Here is a 17,436-nt window from a genome sequence, read left to right as displayed (position 1 = left end):
AGTACGGACAGAAACAAAATGAGAAGTCTTATACAATAGTGAAGGAAAGAAGAAAGACATTTAAAAGGAGCCAGGTGTCCCTATGGTCTAAGTGAACAACTAATTTCAATTTGGGCTATTTTAGTTGCCTGGCTAAGTACATGAGGCTTTAATAGCTGGATTCTAATAAAAGTTTATTATGATAGTAACTTCTTGATCACTGAATATGAGAATGTCTTAAATTTAATTGTTTTCAATAACTTATCAATGGAATTCAGTGATACAAAATGTTGAGAAGGATAGTTTATATTATTTTTCAGGTGTTGTTATTGTTGAGATGGTGAAGAATCTAAAATCCTACCCCACTTGAAATCATCTAGTTAGCCTGCCATAATTTTATGGGTGGTGACAGAAGGCATGAGATTCCTGGGTCAGAGACAAAGAAATTTACTTCTTAGAGTAATAGTGGTAACCAGAGTATCAACATTTGTGAGGGTTTTCTGAGACTCAATCCCAAAAGGCAATGCAAGCGGGATATATGACACCTGTTCATGCAATGGGCAGTGCTACTGGGGAGGAATTCTGAGCATTATGAAAGAACCAAACTCTTTTATAACGGGCAGTAAGCTTACCTGACAGTAAGCCCCAGAAGAAGATATTATCTTCATTGTACTTGGCAGAAACAAACTTGCCCTTTCCTCGGAGAGAAGTATTATATTTATATTCCAAGGCTATTTTCTTTGCAAACTTTCTTAGAGGATTGTTTAGGGAAAAAAAGGCAATATTTACTTATTTATTTATTTACTTATTTATTTATTTATTTATTTATTTAATTTATTTTTGAGACAGATTCTCGCACTGTCGCCCGGGCTGGAGTGCAGTAGCATGATCTTAGCTCACTGCAAACTCCACCAGCCAGATTCAAGCAATTCTCCTGCCTCAGCCTCCCGATTACAAGCACCTGCCACCATGTCCATCTAATTATTTGTATTTTTAGAAGAGACTGGGTTTCACCATGTTGGCCTGGCTGGACTCGAACTCCTGACCTTGTGATTCACTTGCCTCGGCCTCCCAAAGTGCTGGGATTACAGGCGTGAGCCACCACGCCCTGCCAAAAAAGGTAATTTATGTCTCTGTTTACAACACATGCAGTACCAGGAGAAATCTACATAGTTTGTCTCCCAACAGTTATAAGACTATCATTTTTGGAAGAATCAATATAATCCTCAGAAACGTGCAAACTCATATGAAAGAATGGACAGAAAACTTGAAATCATAAGAAATAAATTCATAGTAGTTTTTGCTCAATTAATTCTAAGATTTTCTTCCTAGTCACTGAAGGCTTTAGAAAAGGATATCATGAGGAAATCTATTATTCTGTGGTTAAATTTGATCAAATTAATCTTGAGAGAAGTTCATATGCCATTTGAAAATCAACTATTTTTTCTCACTGACTTTTAACTCCTTCACAAGAAAAATACTTTATGAGAGATAGGTAGCTTTACTGATTTTTCAAGTGTCATGGGAGTTTAAGCTATTACCAGGTTGTGCTTAATCTTTTAAAATTGGAGTTCATGTTAGTTTCTGATTCAGAAATGTGTTGTAAATTAGTCAGAATTTACATAATGAAAAGACAATAATTTCTTTCATGATTATTTCACACAGAATTTATTAAATGTGATCGCAGTATTTAGAACATCCCAAGGGCTTGAGATATAGGCAGAGCAGGCATTCTGAGGTTGACTTGAGGCTTGGGGAAGGAAGCAGAGTATTAAGTGGCCCACCTACCCACGACTAATTAGAGACCTAGATCCCAAGTCTGCTTACTTCCAGTCCAGTTCTCCTTCTACTACATTGCAGTAACTTTTTCTCAAAAACAACAGAAGCAGAAGCTAAATTATGCACAGGAACAAAGAAAATGTTCCTGTAGTCAGGGACTGAAATACATTTATATAGCAGCATGTTGAAAACTTGGTTGAATTCATGGGCACCTTACTTGAAGAGGCTCAAGGATATAATCTCCTTCCCTAATAGAAAACCTACTGAGGAAGTCATTCTTTATGCCCCAAAGATCCAATGATGGAAAGTATAGAAGAGCTCACTAGGATTTCTATTTAAACTTGAAGTAGGAGACTAGGAAAGAGGTTGTTAGAGCAGCCATCCTGCAGTTTTAACATAAAGGTTTAGGGACTTTGAACAGATGACAGGAGCTTTCTGGGAGGTTTTTGAAGTGGTGCTATGGTTTTTACTCAGCCTTATTATCCAAGAAATGCTGGGGAAATAGACACAGATAGTTCTGCTTTTCCTCAGGCTTTAATATTATTAATTATTTTGGTTTACCTACAGGATATAAGAGACACAGGTTATTTAACAGTAAAAACTAAAACTGCAATACTGAAAATTAAAACAAAAATGAATTGAGATTAATTGCTGGATATTTTAATTAAATTCCAAATGAAGATGAAACCAAAAAAGTTTTTATTGAAAAATATATCCTTTAAAATTAAAGAAGTACAATATATGTGCCCAAGTGTGTGTTATGTGTGTATGTGTGTGCACTTGGATGTGGCCTCCGATTAACACTGTTAAGGATTTAATGTGAAAATGTCCCATCTTCTGATATTTGTAAGAATTAGTCTATCAGTTAGTTGGTTTACAACTCATACCTCATCTTGAGGGGATAAATAATTAGGTAACTAGACAGTTATCTATTAACTGAAAATAAAATGCTAGGGGCTTTAGTGAAACTGGACTAAAGAATTTACAACAACAACCTAGAGCAACTCAACTTGGTAGCACAGAGTCAAAGGCTACTCTTGGCCAGTACGTCTCTTGGAGGATAAGAATGTGGAAATGGAACAGTGACGACCACGGTAGCTTGCTAAGGTTTCCTAGGGCTGAACTTTGACAGGTCGCCAGAAAAGCGAGGTATGCTTCTAGATATCCTCTCTTATTTGATTATCACAACAGACCAGTGAGAAAAGTATTGTTATTACCTTTTAACGTACAATAATCTCGTAGTGTAAAAAGTTCCATGATTTGCTCAGGATCTGAGATTTGAATCCAAAAATCCAAATCCAATCCAATTCGAAGTCCTCTTTTTATTTAACTTCATTAGTGCTTGGATTGAGCTCTTTTACAGATCTGAAAATTTGATTCTGGCTAGGCCTTTTATTTTTTTAAATATTATGCTTAACTTCAAGTCTGGACCAGATGAAAAAACAGTGTTAACCAAAGGGTTATTTTTAAGTGAGAAAACATGGACTCTCTCTCTCTCTCTCTCTCTCTCTCTGTGTGTGTGTGTGTGTGTGTGTGTGTGAACTAGCTTTTATTTTATCTCTTTAGTGTGTTGAAATGATGTCAACACTGATTTTATCTGGAGATTAATATGTCATGTGATTAAAAATGTCTGTGGTGTGTTCTATTAGCTTAGGCTGCTATAACAAAATGCCACAGACTGCTTAGCTAAATCAACAGAAATTTATTTTCTCACAGTTCTGGAAGCTAAAAAGTCCTAGATCAAGGTGTTGTGAGGGCTGCTTTCAGTGAAGGTGATCTTCCTGGCTTGGCGAAGGCTGCCTTCTCGCTCTTTCCTCACATGGCCTTTTCTCAGTGTGGGTGAGGAGAGAGCTCTGGTATCTCTCTCTTTTCTTTATAAGGATACCAATTCTCTTGAATTAGGTCACCACTCTTATGACCTTGTTTAACCTAATTATCTCCTTAAGAATTCTGTCTCCAAATACAGTCACATTAGAGATTAGGGCTTCAACTATTGGATTTTTGGGGGGACACAATTCAGTCCATAGAGTTGTATACCCCCAAAATATTTGCCAAAAGAACTAAAGAATGCTAATTATGATGTGATATGCACATATGCTGTGTTTACATAGAAATTTATACTGGTGGAGATTTTTTATATAGTACTATTACCATGTAATAACAGAAATAATTTGAAATAGTTCCTGAGATTTAAAAGCAATTTCAAACATCCACTAATGAGATATAACAAGATACATATGAAGCAGGTTTTAACCACAACAATCAAACTCCATTTCAAACTTGCAAGAAAAACTGGACAGTGGTTAGAATAAGAAATATGTATGAAATAACATTATGACTTTTCTAACCTTAAATCTAAGAGTTCTACTTGTAAGTAGTCTAAAATTGGAATGCTAAGACCATTTTATTTTATTAAAAGTACACATAATTGATTGCAAAAATTTAGTAATGCTCTGATGTCTTAGTATTTAGAATATATTTAGAACATTTCAAATATATTGAAATTTCAAAACACATTTATCTCTTTACTGGTAGTGTACTTTGGTAACTGAATACACAGGCTATAGACTTCAACTTCAGCTTCAAGTTCTGGTTTTACCAGTTACTAGCTATCTAACCTTGGGGAATTTACTTAATCCTCTGTGTTTATGTGATCTTATGTTTAACGTGAGGATAATGAAAGTGCCTACTTATTTGGGTTGCTGTGAAATACAATGAAATAATTTCTGTTAAACACTAGGAAAAGTATCTATTTCAATTAATGTTAGTTGCTATTGATATACCCAAACAATTGATAGTAGATCATTTTTAATATTAAAATTACACATTAAAGAGTATATACATTTTTGAGCTAGTCAAATATATTTCTAATTAGATATGTCTAATCTATCTACCACTGTGTGTCTATGAAGATAATTTACAAATTTTGTTAGTATTATGGGTGTAAACATTTTTTTTTAGTTCCTCACACATTGAGAAAATGTTACCCAATGACATAAAAGACATCTCAGGATCTACAAAAACACTTTTGTGTATGATGTATACAGATTCTCTAGGGTAGTGCTAGGTAGCATGCTCTGTTATCACTGGGCTGTTCGCCTCCTTTACAATTTGGGAAAATCCTTTTTGTAGCTAGTTGAAGTTAAGAATTTGATGGGTATGAGTCCTTTACTACTGGTAATCCCTGAAGTACTATGCTCATTAACTTCCCTGAACTGCTTAGAATTGGCTGGTAGAAGCAAGTTTGCAAAACCTAGAGGTTCTCTAAGTGTTATCTAGGAGTTCTTGAGACTTGTTCACTGGCTTCATGAGGTCAAACTGTCTTCCTAATAATACTACATCTTCTTTGCCTTTTTTGCTGTATTATTTGCCCTGATGATACCATAGTATTAATCAAGGCAGTGAAGCCAAACTGTACTGGCAGTTTTATTTCAGGATGTCCTTGATAAAGGAGTAAAAATTAATAATTTTATTAGATCCTGATCCTTGATACTATTTAATATTCTGATTTTAATATTCTGTGACAAACAGGAATATTTGGAAAGCACTTCTGCTGCATACTAAAATGTGATGGTTTATTACTCAAAAAAATGTATGTGACCTCATGAGTTACAAGGTAAATTAGTCACATTTTTTTTTCTTTGAGCACTGTTTATACTTGAAGGGACAACTGACAAACTATGGTTATGAAGACTAGGATATGTGGAAGATATTTTTTTGAAAGTGAGCAAAGTGAGCCTGTCACTTCAAGGAAAGCAACTGACAGTACTTATTATTGCCAAAGATAAAAATTTCAAACAAAAATTAGAACTTAACACTTGTTTCCCCACATTGAATTTGACACTTTCCCAATACTTAAAGATTTTTATAATGTGATCTGTAGTAATATTTACAAATGGGATTTTTTTGTACTATATAATTCAACATGTCAATATTTGAAACACATCACTCAGTGTTCCGAAATTCTCCAAATATCATTTCATGGTGTTATAAAATCATGCACAGCTAGATAAAACATTTATTTAAAGTGAAAAAAGATTATCATAAAAAAATGACTAATGACTTAATATAACATGGTGTTATAGGACCAATGCGTTCGTGTGCCCACTGCACAATAACAGACCAATTACACTGAGACAGCAAGGTTTGCATCAGAGAAAGAGTTTAATGATTGCCAGGTTCTGAGGAAAGAGGCGGGAGGAGACCTTCAAATCCATCTCCCTGAGGAATTCTGGACTGGGGTTTTTAAGGGGATCCTGGAGGATGAGGGACTGAAAATTTGGGTTTGTTGATTGAGTGGGGAGAGAGGTATGAAATCATCAGGATATGAAAGCCGCATTCTCTGGTGAATCAGCTTCTTGTGGGGTAATTCAGACCAGCTGATGCACATAGTTTCACTGTTATACAGGACCTAAAAGAATATATCAGAGGGAAAACTTAATGTTTCATAATGTTCAAGTCATTATCTACAGAGCAGTTTAGGGGAGCTATAATCTTGTAATAGGGTCTATGTGATTCCAGGACAATAGGCACAAACAACTATTAGGAAGCAGGTTAGAGTATGCTGACTTCGTGATTAACGCTGAATGTGCTGCAAGCTTGGTTGATTTTTGTTTCTCCCCATCCCTTCTTCCAAGATGAATTTTATAAAGTTTATAAGGGCAGTTTCAATAGTATAAAATGTTCATCTTCTGTAAGTTCAGAGTCCACATTAGAACTAGCCATTAGAAATTACCACAGGTTGAGTTTTGGTATAGTATCAATGAAAAAATATACTCTATTTTCCTAAAAGGTTGTTAAAATACTCTTTGATTTTCAAACTATATTCTTGAGCAACATCAAATTTTCCTCATACAGTTCAACAAAGCCAGCATACTGAATTAGATTAAATGCTGAAGTAGTTGAGAAAGTCTATGTTCTATTAACCCAGACATTAAAAAATGTGAACAATGCTATTCATCTCACTATTTTGTTTGGGGAAATACAGTTATTTTAAATAAATAATATGTTATTTATATTAACATGTAATAGGTTTATTTCTGTTACTTTTAAATGAAATTATTTTAAATGGATTAATACATAAGCATTAAAAATACTGTTTTAATTCCTGAATGTGTTAAATGTCAATAGACATAACCTACATAAACAAAAGCTTTTGGGGTCCTCAATGTCTTTTAAGAGTGAGAGAGGTTCTGACACCAAAATGTTGGTAAACCTCTGATAAAATCTGAACCTTTCCTGGAAGCTAGTCCCTCAATGTGAATGTTAAAGGCTGATAGGGCTCACCTTTGTGATTTTCTGTGTTTTGTCATTTACAGGACTAATTGCTGTGTTCCTAATACATGTAGAATCTGAATGGAAAATATCCCAAGGCAACTGGCATGAAACTGGACTTTCAGAAATTTCACTTTTTAAAAATTTAGATAGATTTTTTAAAAATTTCCACCTCCACCAAAGCAGTCTTAATGTTTACTACACATTTATACTTGCAAAATGCAAGCTCATATACTGTAATGACTCTGTTTTTTGTTGTTGTCATCTTATGTAGCAGTCAGATGATTCTAGCACATTGTCAAGATTCAGATTTAAAATTTTAAATTAAGAAACCTACAAAAGATATTAATTAGTGGAAATACACCAATAGTCTTTCAACTTCAGCAAGTAATTATGTTTCCAATTTTGGAGAAAATATGTAATTTTTAATCTATAGGAGTTTTAAAAGTTGGATGGGAGCATGCATGCCCTTCTTGCCAACAAATACATTTTAACTTAAAGATGGAAAATACAGAATGTTTGGAAAATTCTTGTGACAGTCACTCTAACGAAGGTATCATCCTTGCTTGTTGTTGTCACCAGTGAATGTATCGTACATGAGGTAGAAAGTTGTGACTAAAAACTACCTCTGGTCCACCTACTCTGTTCCAGAGGAAGTAATACTTCCTTCCCTACTTTGAGGAAGTCATTCAGTTTTGATACCATGCTTTGCATGTAAATCTCTCTCTATTGGATCCTCATCCAAGTGGTCAGAGGGATGCTTGTTTGGTTGTTAAAAGAAATTTTTGAAAAATAAGGTAGAGAGCAGAATTATTTTAGATAACATCTGAATGCCTGGGAGAGAAAATAAAGGCACAGTTATCTCTCTGCTTTTGTCTCCGTCTCTTGGTGTCCTGAAATATCCATCTCATTATAAAGAAAAGAATCAAATTAAGGAATAAACACAAGAAGAGTCATCATTTCTAACATTGCCAAGTCCTAAGACAGCAATATGCTCTACTAAATTATATATTTTTAATTTAATTTCTTTAAAAGTAAAATTTGCTATTTTGATGTCAAAAATACAAAACAAATACAAAAATGTTTGTTACAAGGATGTCTCATTCAAGTTGTAAATAGAGGTGGACAAACTGAGTTTTTTTCCTTTCAATCACATTGATTATTTTCTTCTACTTTATTTTTACTAAATTGAATGCCTTGATCTTGAGTGTTTCTTAAAGTTCATCTTAAAAATGAAACAATTTTGTTTTTATTCCTTTGCATAGTCAGAAAGTTTTTAGAGGGAGAAAAAGTATAAAATCTGGCATTGAAGGGTAGCCTCCCTCAAAGACATGAATAATGTTGTATTTTAAACAGGATGATCTAGATGTGAAAAGGCCTTAAAGGGTAGAGGGATGCCCCAAATCAGAAGGCTTTTGGGGGGTCTCCCAAGAAGGTCAGAAGCATTGAATGTGTAATAAGCGGGGGCCACTACAGCAACCATTATCTTCCCTCTGACAGAGCGGCTCACTGACCTGGCATGCTGGCAAATGGAGAGGAAAACTCTCCACCGAGATGTAAATTCCCCATACTGGTCCCTCATGAATATCTTGTCTCCAGGATTCAAGCCAGTGACCTGGAAAACAAGGTTCCTCCCCAATCAAAATGACAGGCAGAGCTGGTTTCTTGTTAGGAAGACTACAAGGTGTGTAAAAAAATTATGATTTCTGAGGGAAAAAAAATGAGATGTCACACAGAGCAAAATATTACTTTCAAATGGTCCTCTGCAGTTCTTTTGAATGGCAGCTGTTAAGAATTCAATTGTGTGTATGACACACTGGAATCCAGAATGGAAGTTCTGTTGGGGGGCAGGAATGAATAGAAATTTTCAATTTAAATACTCATTTGAGATTATTTGAATATCTGTCATTCTTTTTAGCCTAAAGGTTAATTCTTGAAGAAATAATTTCCATTAGTAACACAAATTCCAACCTTGTCAAGTCCTCTTATGTAATGCATCAGTGCTGAAAGGCATACTCTTGCAAAACTGAACCTTTATATATGTAATCTTGGTTTGTAGACAATGTTTTCCTACAGAAGTTTCATTGATTTATCAGTTATTTGTTTATAGAGGATTCATTAAGGTATGTTTACTTTTACTGATAATATAAAAAATCATGAATCAAGTATTAAAATGTAGAAACTATTGAAATTATAAAAAATACCCAGTATTATACATTTCAATAAATGAGATGTCTAAAAATTTAAAGCATTGTATTATACACCATATAAAGCAAAATAATGCCTTAGGTTTGGGTTATATTTCGGAAAGCATGTTTATTTAAAATATTCTATTTATTTCTAGCAATTATTCTTCTTTCTTTGAAATAATAATTCACAAAACTGCAACTCAATTAAGACAAATGAATTATTCTGCCACACCATAACCAACTTGAAGCAATTAATTGTACATCAAATAAAGCACGCAACGTTTGTGCACCAATCATAGCAGAACCTCTTCTGCCTGCCCAAGAGAAGTATTTACACATATGCTCAGTAAGATAAAATTTAAAGAGGGGATTTGGGGATTTCTAGTTCATACGGATAAACAAAACTTTTCTTAGAAAAATAATATTTAAATATTCTTTATTTTAAGAAGTTTTTGTGAATGTAGTGATACATACATCATTTTTTTTGACAATCTACCTTTTCCTCCCTAAAATGTTTTTTAACTTATTTATTTATTTATTTTTAGATGGAGTTTCGCTCTTGTTGCCCAGGCTGGAGTACAATGGCGCCATCTTGGCTCACCTCAACCTCCACCTCCCGGGTTCAAGTGACTCTCCTGCCTTAGCCTCCCATGTAGCTGGGATTACAGGCATGCGCCACCATGCCTGGCTAATTTTGTATTTTTAGTAGAGACGGGGTTTCTCCATGTTGGTCAAGCTGGTCTCGAACTCCCGGCCTCAGGTGATCTGCCTGCCTTGGCCTCCCAAAATGCTGGGATTACAGGTGTGAGTCATGGCACCTGGCTTATTTTTTAATTGAAAAATAAAATTGTAAATATTTAGAGTATAGCGTGTTGTTTTGATAAACATACATTGTGGAATGGCTAACTCAAGCTTTTTACAATATGCATTACGTCACAAACTTATCATGCTTTTATAGTGAAAACACTCAAAGTTTATTCTCACCAATTGTCAAGTGTACATAAAAATCTACTTTAAAAGATTATGAATGATACATAATCATTGTACATATTTGTGGGGTACAATGTGATGTTTCCCTACACATGTATAAATTGTCTAATGATCAAACCAGAGTAATTAGTATATCCATCAACCTTAAACATTTATCAGTTCTTTGTGATGAGGACATTTCAAAACCTATCTGGTAGTTATTTTGAAACATACACTACCATGTTGTTAACTCTAGTCATACTACTATGCAATAGACCACCTGAATTTCTGTCTTCTAATTGTAGCTTGTACTCATCTTCCAATCTCTCATTGCCCCCTTCATCCTCTGGTAATTATGATTCTACTCTCCACTTATACAAGAACAAATTTTTAGATTCCATATATGAGTGAGATCATGTGATATTTGTCTTTCTGTGCCTGGCTTTAAAAATCTACTTTTGAAGTCACAGAATCACAATATGAAAGACAAAACAAAAATGAAAACAAATATTTTGGAGATGTCACTAGAAATTTTGTACACACACATGCACTCACATAGACACACACATACTTTCCCCTTTATTTCCATATGAAATTTTTGTTTTATATATTGCAGTTTTCTTTTTTAATTTTGTATTAAGTTTAATCTGAATGCAAATTATATTCATATTGTTATAATTTTTTAAGAGTTGGAAATTGTCTTCCAAAATATTTGCTCAACATGTGGAAGTCTTTGGGCTCCACCATCGATAGTAAGAATGAGTGGTTTTGATGTTTTGGAGTTATTATGAGCCATTTTTTGGAAAACTACTATTTAAATTTGCACACAGAGCTTATACAGAATGAATACGTTAATGAACTCCAGCCATGGACTGCACACTCATATTATCATCAATTGTGCATGAAATTTTTCCAGACTATTTGTTCAGAAAATAAGTACTAAATTATGCATTCAACTTAGATTCAGGCATAAAAATAGGTTTCCACAAATATTTTCAGATGGCAATTTTTGTGTGTGCAAATACTACACAACCTTTTTATATGGTATTTTCACTTTATTAGATTAAAATCAACATTGAAAAAAACTAGTTCATGACGTGTCACAGAAGTACAGGTTGATTTTTCCCACTCTTAAATCATACCCTATAATATTACAATTTACTATTGTTTATAAAACTATCATAAGCCTAGCTTCTATTTGTTTCAGTGTCGTGAAAAATCTACCTTCAGTCTAAGAAAACCATAGTTAAGCATTCATTCAGTAAGCATTATAGTACTAACCTAGAGTTTCCATGGATTTTATGTTTGAGTTTACAAAGGATTTTAAAATGTCAGACTACGTTCATCTTCTTGACGTCCACATAAAAATAACCAATAGCATCAGATCAAAGGATAATTTGTCATTATAATCTAGTGAAATTTAATGTTGGAAGAATAAAAAGTCAAATAAATGTCCTCTTTTCTCTGGCTAGAACTAAAAATTTTCTGATCCAAGATTGTTAATTTCACTGATGAGCTCCTTATTTCATCATAGCCAAATAATTAAAAAGTCTAAGTTAGCTGATGGTCGGATGATTCTTCATTCTTCACCACATGGGTCAGAGATAGAGAAAATGTTTTCATGAGGTGGGGTTCAGGATCCTAAGCCTAAGCCCGAAGGGATCCTTCCTCTTCCTTTTTGTTGCTTCAATTGTGCATTTAGTAAAAGATAATAAACTTTAAAGCAGATGTGGATGAACCAAGACCTCTGTTTTTACATGAGGAAAGGATGGGAGGCCTGTAGTAACAGTTGAACAGCGGGGTATTTTCTTAAACCCTGAGCTTCAGACCGCACATACTCACTCTAAGGGTGTATGAATTGGCTTCCATTGCAGCTTAGACACCTGCTATCAGGAAATGTTTGAGCTGGAGCAGCAGTCCCCAAACTCTTTGGCACCAGCAACCAAGTTCATGGAAGACAATTTTTCCACAGACGTGGACGTGGAGGGGGTGGGTGGTAGGGAGATAATAGATTCTCATAAGGAGCTCACAACCTAGATCCCTTGCATGCACAGTTTACGATAGGGTTCGCACTCCTATGAGAATCTAATGTTCTGATAGGAGGCGGAGCTCAAGCAGTAATGCGGGCTCGCCCGGCCTGCTGTAAGGCCCAGTTCTTAACAGGCCACCGACTGGTACCAGTCTGTGGCCCAGGGGATGGGGAGCCCTAAGCTAGACAGAAACCTAAGGAGCACAGTCTGATCTTACCATGCTTACTGATAGCTGTGGAGGCTCTGAGGTGGCTGTAGAGCAGTTCAGACTCACACATATGGCTTCAGTGGCATCCCAATAAACTTGTTTATACTTCAGATTATACTTCAAAGTTTACTGTAGCTGAAATTGCAAAAATGCAACTATTCTTTTTTATAATAAAAACAATTAAGAAAATATAGTCTTTGAAATGGTCTGATTCAGTTAAAATGTCTGCTAATTAATTCAGTGAATGGAAATACCCTAAACAGCCTTGGTGTTTACAGCTTTGATGTAGATATGGCCTTAAAAAGATATTTCACAGGCTCAGGGACAGTGTGTGTTAAAATTATAAAGTAGGTAAAATTTGTCATTGGTGTCATCACTTTCATAAGCTGCACTCTCCTCCTCCCACATTTTCTTTCCATGGGAATGAATCTTCCCTTTTTTCTTTCCCAATTCACTAAACTCCCTGCCAGAAAGTCTACTGCTTCCAAACCCTCCTAGGGACTCCATTATCTATGGTATGCACTCTCTGGGCTGACCTCTGATGCCAGCCTGTTCTGTGCTATCCCTATCCTTCTCTCAGATTAAAGTTTATCCCTTAGGTGGCTGTCTTTGCCAAGGATTGTTTGATTGTAAGAACGTAACTGAAACCCACTATAACTTATCTAAGCAAATGAGAATGGCCATCTGTCCAAAGCCAGGAGCAGACATTGTAGCCATGCCTTATGTGGAACTTGAAAAAAAAAAAAACCTGGGAAGCCATCTATTAAATATAATAAAAGCAATTATCCTCTCCGTCTGCTTTTCTCTGAGGAAGCACGTGTATACATTTCTTCTCTCCAATACATCTTTTTTCCTTTATCTCAGACAGTATCCTCTTCTTATTTACAAAGGATGACTCACCTTAACTTGCTTTGCAAGTGACCTCGGTATTTGGGGCACCTCACTTTACAGATCTGGTGCCTGAATTTGATTGACATGATCTTTAAGTAAACCAATTGCAATTTTCTCAGAGAAAGAATCTGATGGGCCCAATGTAGCCCTTGGGATAAGTGTCCAGCTCTCTATGAGTCAGCTATGTCTAGAAAGAAAGAGGTATGTGGTAGAATGTTGAGGAATAAAAAGGGAAGAAAGGTAGTTTGGCTACCAAAGGCACTCTGAGACTTTTTTCGTTCCTACGCATCTTTGTTGCCCTTTTTTTATTTTTTGATTAAGAGATTATTAGGCAAATTGATTAATCTGTGTTAATGTGTTCATATGGTGCTAGCAAGTTACTTTCTGGTAGAGTTTTTTTTGCTTTTCTGTGGCTCTATAGAACTTAGACCATAAGCTCAAATGTTCCCAAGGGACTGGATCAAAAAGTATATAAATGAAAGTGTCCGGGTATAAGACAATTTTCTGTGGAGGAGCTTTTGGCCAATTGGGGAAGGCATGCTCAATGTAAAGCCATTACAAATCATTAAAAAATTATGTGTAAAGTAATTGAAATTGCCTGGTGTTCAGAAGTAGCCTACGGCCTGGTATTTTGTGATTCCTGATCTGAAAGCTCTTCTGTAATTCAAAAGGATTGCTCTAACGGTTGCTCTAATTGGCATCTTAAAAAGCAGGTGAAAAGGCAGTACTGTCTTCTAGGTTTTCTACAGTCTAACAGGAAAAGTTCTGCTATTAGGAGTTAGAAGACCTGAATTGTAATCCCAACTTTGCCACTTTCTGATTTTAAGATTTACTATAAGGATTTCCTTTTGGGGGCTCATGGGGAAAGGGGTGACTGCTGAATGGTTTACTGATGAGTTAGTAGCTTATCAGAATCACATGGTGGTGGTGGGAAGGGGAGGTGAGTGACAAAGCAAAGTTCAACAATCTTAAAGTATCTGGAAAGGGTTTCCAGGAAGGTGTATTTTTTAAACTCCCCGGACGCTTTTAATGCAATTGTGACTATGACTGCCCTTTAGGAAACTGACTTTGCTGATCTCTTAGTTCTGACAACCTAAGAGACAGACAGAATTCTAAGACCGGCCTTTTCTCATGGGCTATTCTGCTTGAAAAGAAATCTGGGATTGCCATATTGAGTAAAAACAGACTTCCCTTGGGACGAATGAACACATCTGCCATTATTTTCCCCAACAGAGGCTAATATTAGGGATTTCTGTTTTCCTGCATGTTAAAGCTAGCCTCAGCTAGGGATCAATCAGCTCTTCTTTTCAACCATTAATTCTTGATTCCTGGCTTATCATGCTGTTTTCATTTGACTATTTTATATCTTTACACTGTGTACTCTTCACAAAGTTAACTTCTTATTTGTTAGTCCAAAAAGACTTTATACAATGCAACCTTTCTCAGCTAGATGTCTCTAAAGGCTCAGTCTCATTCACACAATTATCTTGTAGGTTTTTATCAGATCTTCTTGTAGTTATACATATTTCCAGTATTAAAATGAAGAACTTGATTTATTTTTCTGGGGTTTTTCTTTCCCAGTACATCTTATTTTCATGGGGCAGAAACTGTACCTTCTTTATTTCTCTACTACTGGTACCTAACATATTGACTGAAAAAATAAGCATTTCTGAATAATGGGTGAATTAGTGAACTGAAAGCTGCTGCCACCAATGCTTACATCATCATCATCATCACCACCACCACCACCACTGCCACTACCATCACTATATGCATAAAAGAGTTTTTATGTGCATATTTCACTTATTTTTCACAAGAATACAGTAAGAGATAGTGGCCTATTTCTATATCCTTTTTTTTTTTCAAATGCAAAATTTGGGTACTGTATAGCATAAAATAAATGGACCAAGGTCAATATGTCGATAAGCAGCAGAGTCAGAGTCTGAATCTAGTCTGACTTTGGAGCCCGAGGTCTTAACCACAAAGATATACTCCCTGCAACATTTATTACAGTTGCTCTGCAGTCTGGAGTAAAGATTTGTTAGGCTTCTTTAAGGTCAGGGTCAACAAATTATTCACAAAAAGAGGAGAAATAGAGACATTTGTTGCTTCCCAGTCACCACTCACACAACCCTAGATTCTGTGTCCTTGTCTCCTTTTTTACTTCATGGCTGCAACTATGTGCAAGCTATGGTCGAGGCAAAGTCACAGTGATTCTGGCTTATGTTGTGAAGGCCAGGAAGAAAATACACTATTCTGCCAATAATATATCAACAAACCTATTAAAACAACAAAGCAAACAAACGAAACGCTCCAGTTGCACATAACCATCATAGTGAGCTAGATGATCAAGGAAAAAAATAATGTAGTTAATTCAAAATATTTAGCATTGTTGTATCACAAATGTATAAATTAACACATCCACTGCTAACTGAAATTTCTGATAAGTGTTGGTCAGCTTTCTTTAAAATAGTCTGAAATGCCCTTTATGACTGAGGCGGGTCTATATGTCTGATCTCTCTATCATACATCCCTCTCTCAGATCTTTTCTATCTAGCTGAAGTCCCAAAACAGTAACAGCAACAGCAGCAGCAGTTGACATGTTCTGAAAGTTTACTTTGTATCAGATACTTTACATGCATTGTTTTATTTCATCCCAAAGTAACTCTGTCAATAACAAATTAATACTATTTTCTCTTCACAAATGAGGACCCTGTGGCCTAGAGAGATCAAGTAAATCTGCATTAATATGTAACTAGTAAATGGAAGAAATGGCATTCAAATAAAAAGTCTGTCTGATTTCTGATTTCAAAGCCCATGATATTGACCATAGCTCTGTCCTCTCATCACTCTGCCAAGTGCTCCATATTTTCATGTCTTTGCATAGGCTGCTGCCATTACCATGGTTGCCTTCCCCACTCATCTATCTGGCTTTCTCCTGCTCATCCTTCAAAGATCAGCCCAGGCATCACCCATCTGGAAATCCTTCCTTGCCCACCCTTCCATCATCTCTTCTAATGGGTTAACTGACTTTTTTTGTCTTCTTATTCAGCAACGCTCTACTATTGCTTTGTAAAATCATATTTAACTTGTCCTACAGTGCCCTGTGAACTCTTCAAAGACAAGAATGATGTGCCCTTATGCTCCCAATGCCCAGCAAAGTGACTGACTTACTGTGAACATATAGGGCACATTAAATGGATAAATTTTCACTGCTGTGCTGTTCTCAGAAAGGTAACCAGGAATACGGATGCTTTAGTTACTCTCTTCCAAATCCAAAAACCAGCTCAATTGCTGATTTTTAAAAATAATTTTCTTTTACTTCAACTTCAAACTAACAAAACAATTGCAAAAATAAGGTAAAGAATTACAATCTCCTCTTCACCTAAGTTCATCAAAGATTAAATTTGCTTCACCATTCTGTCTCTTTCTGTCTTTATCTGTCTCTCTATATTTATATATATGCATTTTTCTTATATATCTCTCATACATATATAAGAAAGAATGGTATCTAAATCTATCTACACATTATATATACATGAGAGAGAAAGAACAAGGTGCAGATCTCATGTCCTTTTAATTCTTGAATACTTCAGTGTGTACTAAGAAAAAGGATATTCTCTTATATAACTACAATACAATTATCAAAATAAAGAAATTAACAAGGATTTTTATATGATGCATGGATTACCTAATTCACAGTCAGTATTTCAGATGTCACCACTTGTCTCAATACTGTCCTTTTCTAGCTATTTTCAGTCTAAGATCACTCATTGTCTTGAGTTGTCATCTGTCTTTTAGACTTGTTGAATCAGAAATAGTTCCTTGGTCTTCTTTTTCCCTCTCATTCTTATTACTTTAGCATATTTTAGAGTATATGTGAGTTATATTGTAGCATAACTGATGACTTTGATATTTTGTCTGATGTTTTCTCATAATTAGATTCAATTTATGCATTTTTGGCAAAAATTCCACAGAAATCAAATATTGCATCCTTCATCACACCTGGAAGCACATCTTGTTTTATTTTGTTGTCATTGTGTGTTTGTTTGTTTTGTTTTTATCCATATTATTGGTGATCGTTAATTTTGATCATTCCTTTAAGGTACTATCTTCC

Source organism: Homo sapiens, chromosome 5 (assembly GCF_000001405.40).
Source record: "Homo sapiens chromosome 5, GRCh38.p14 Primary Assembly".
NCBI lineage: Eukaryota > Metazoa > Chordata > Mammalia > Primates > Hominidae > Homo > Homo sapiens.
Note: the sequence above shows the minus strand (reverse complement) of the source record.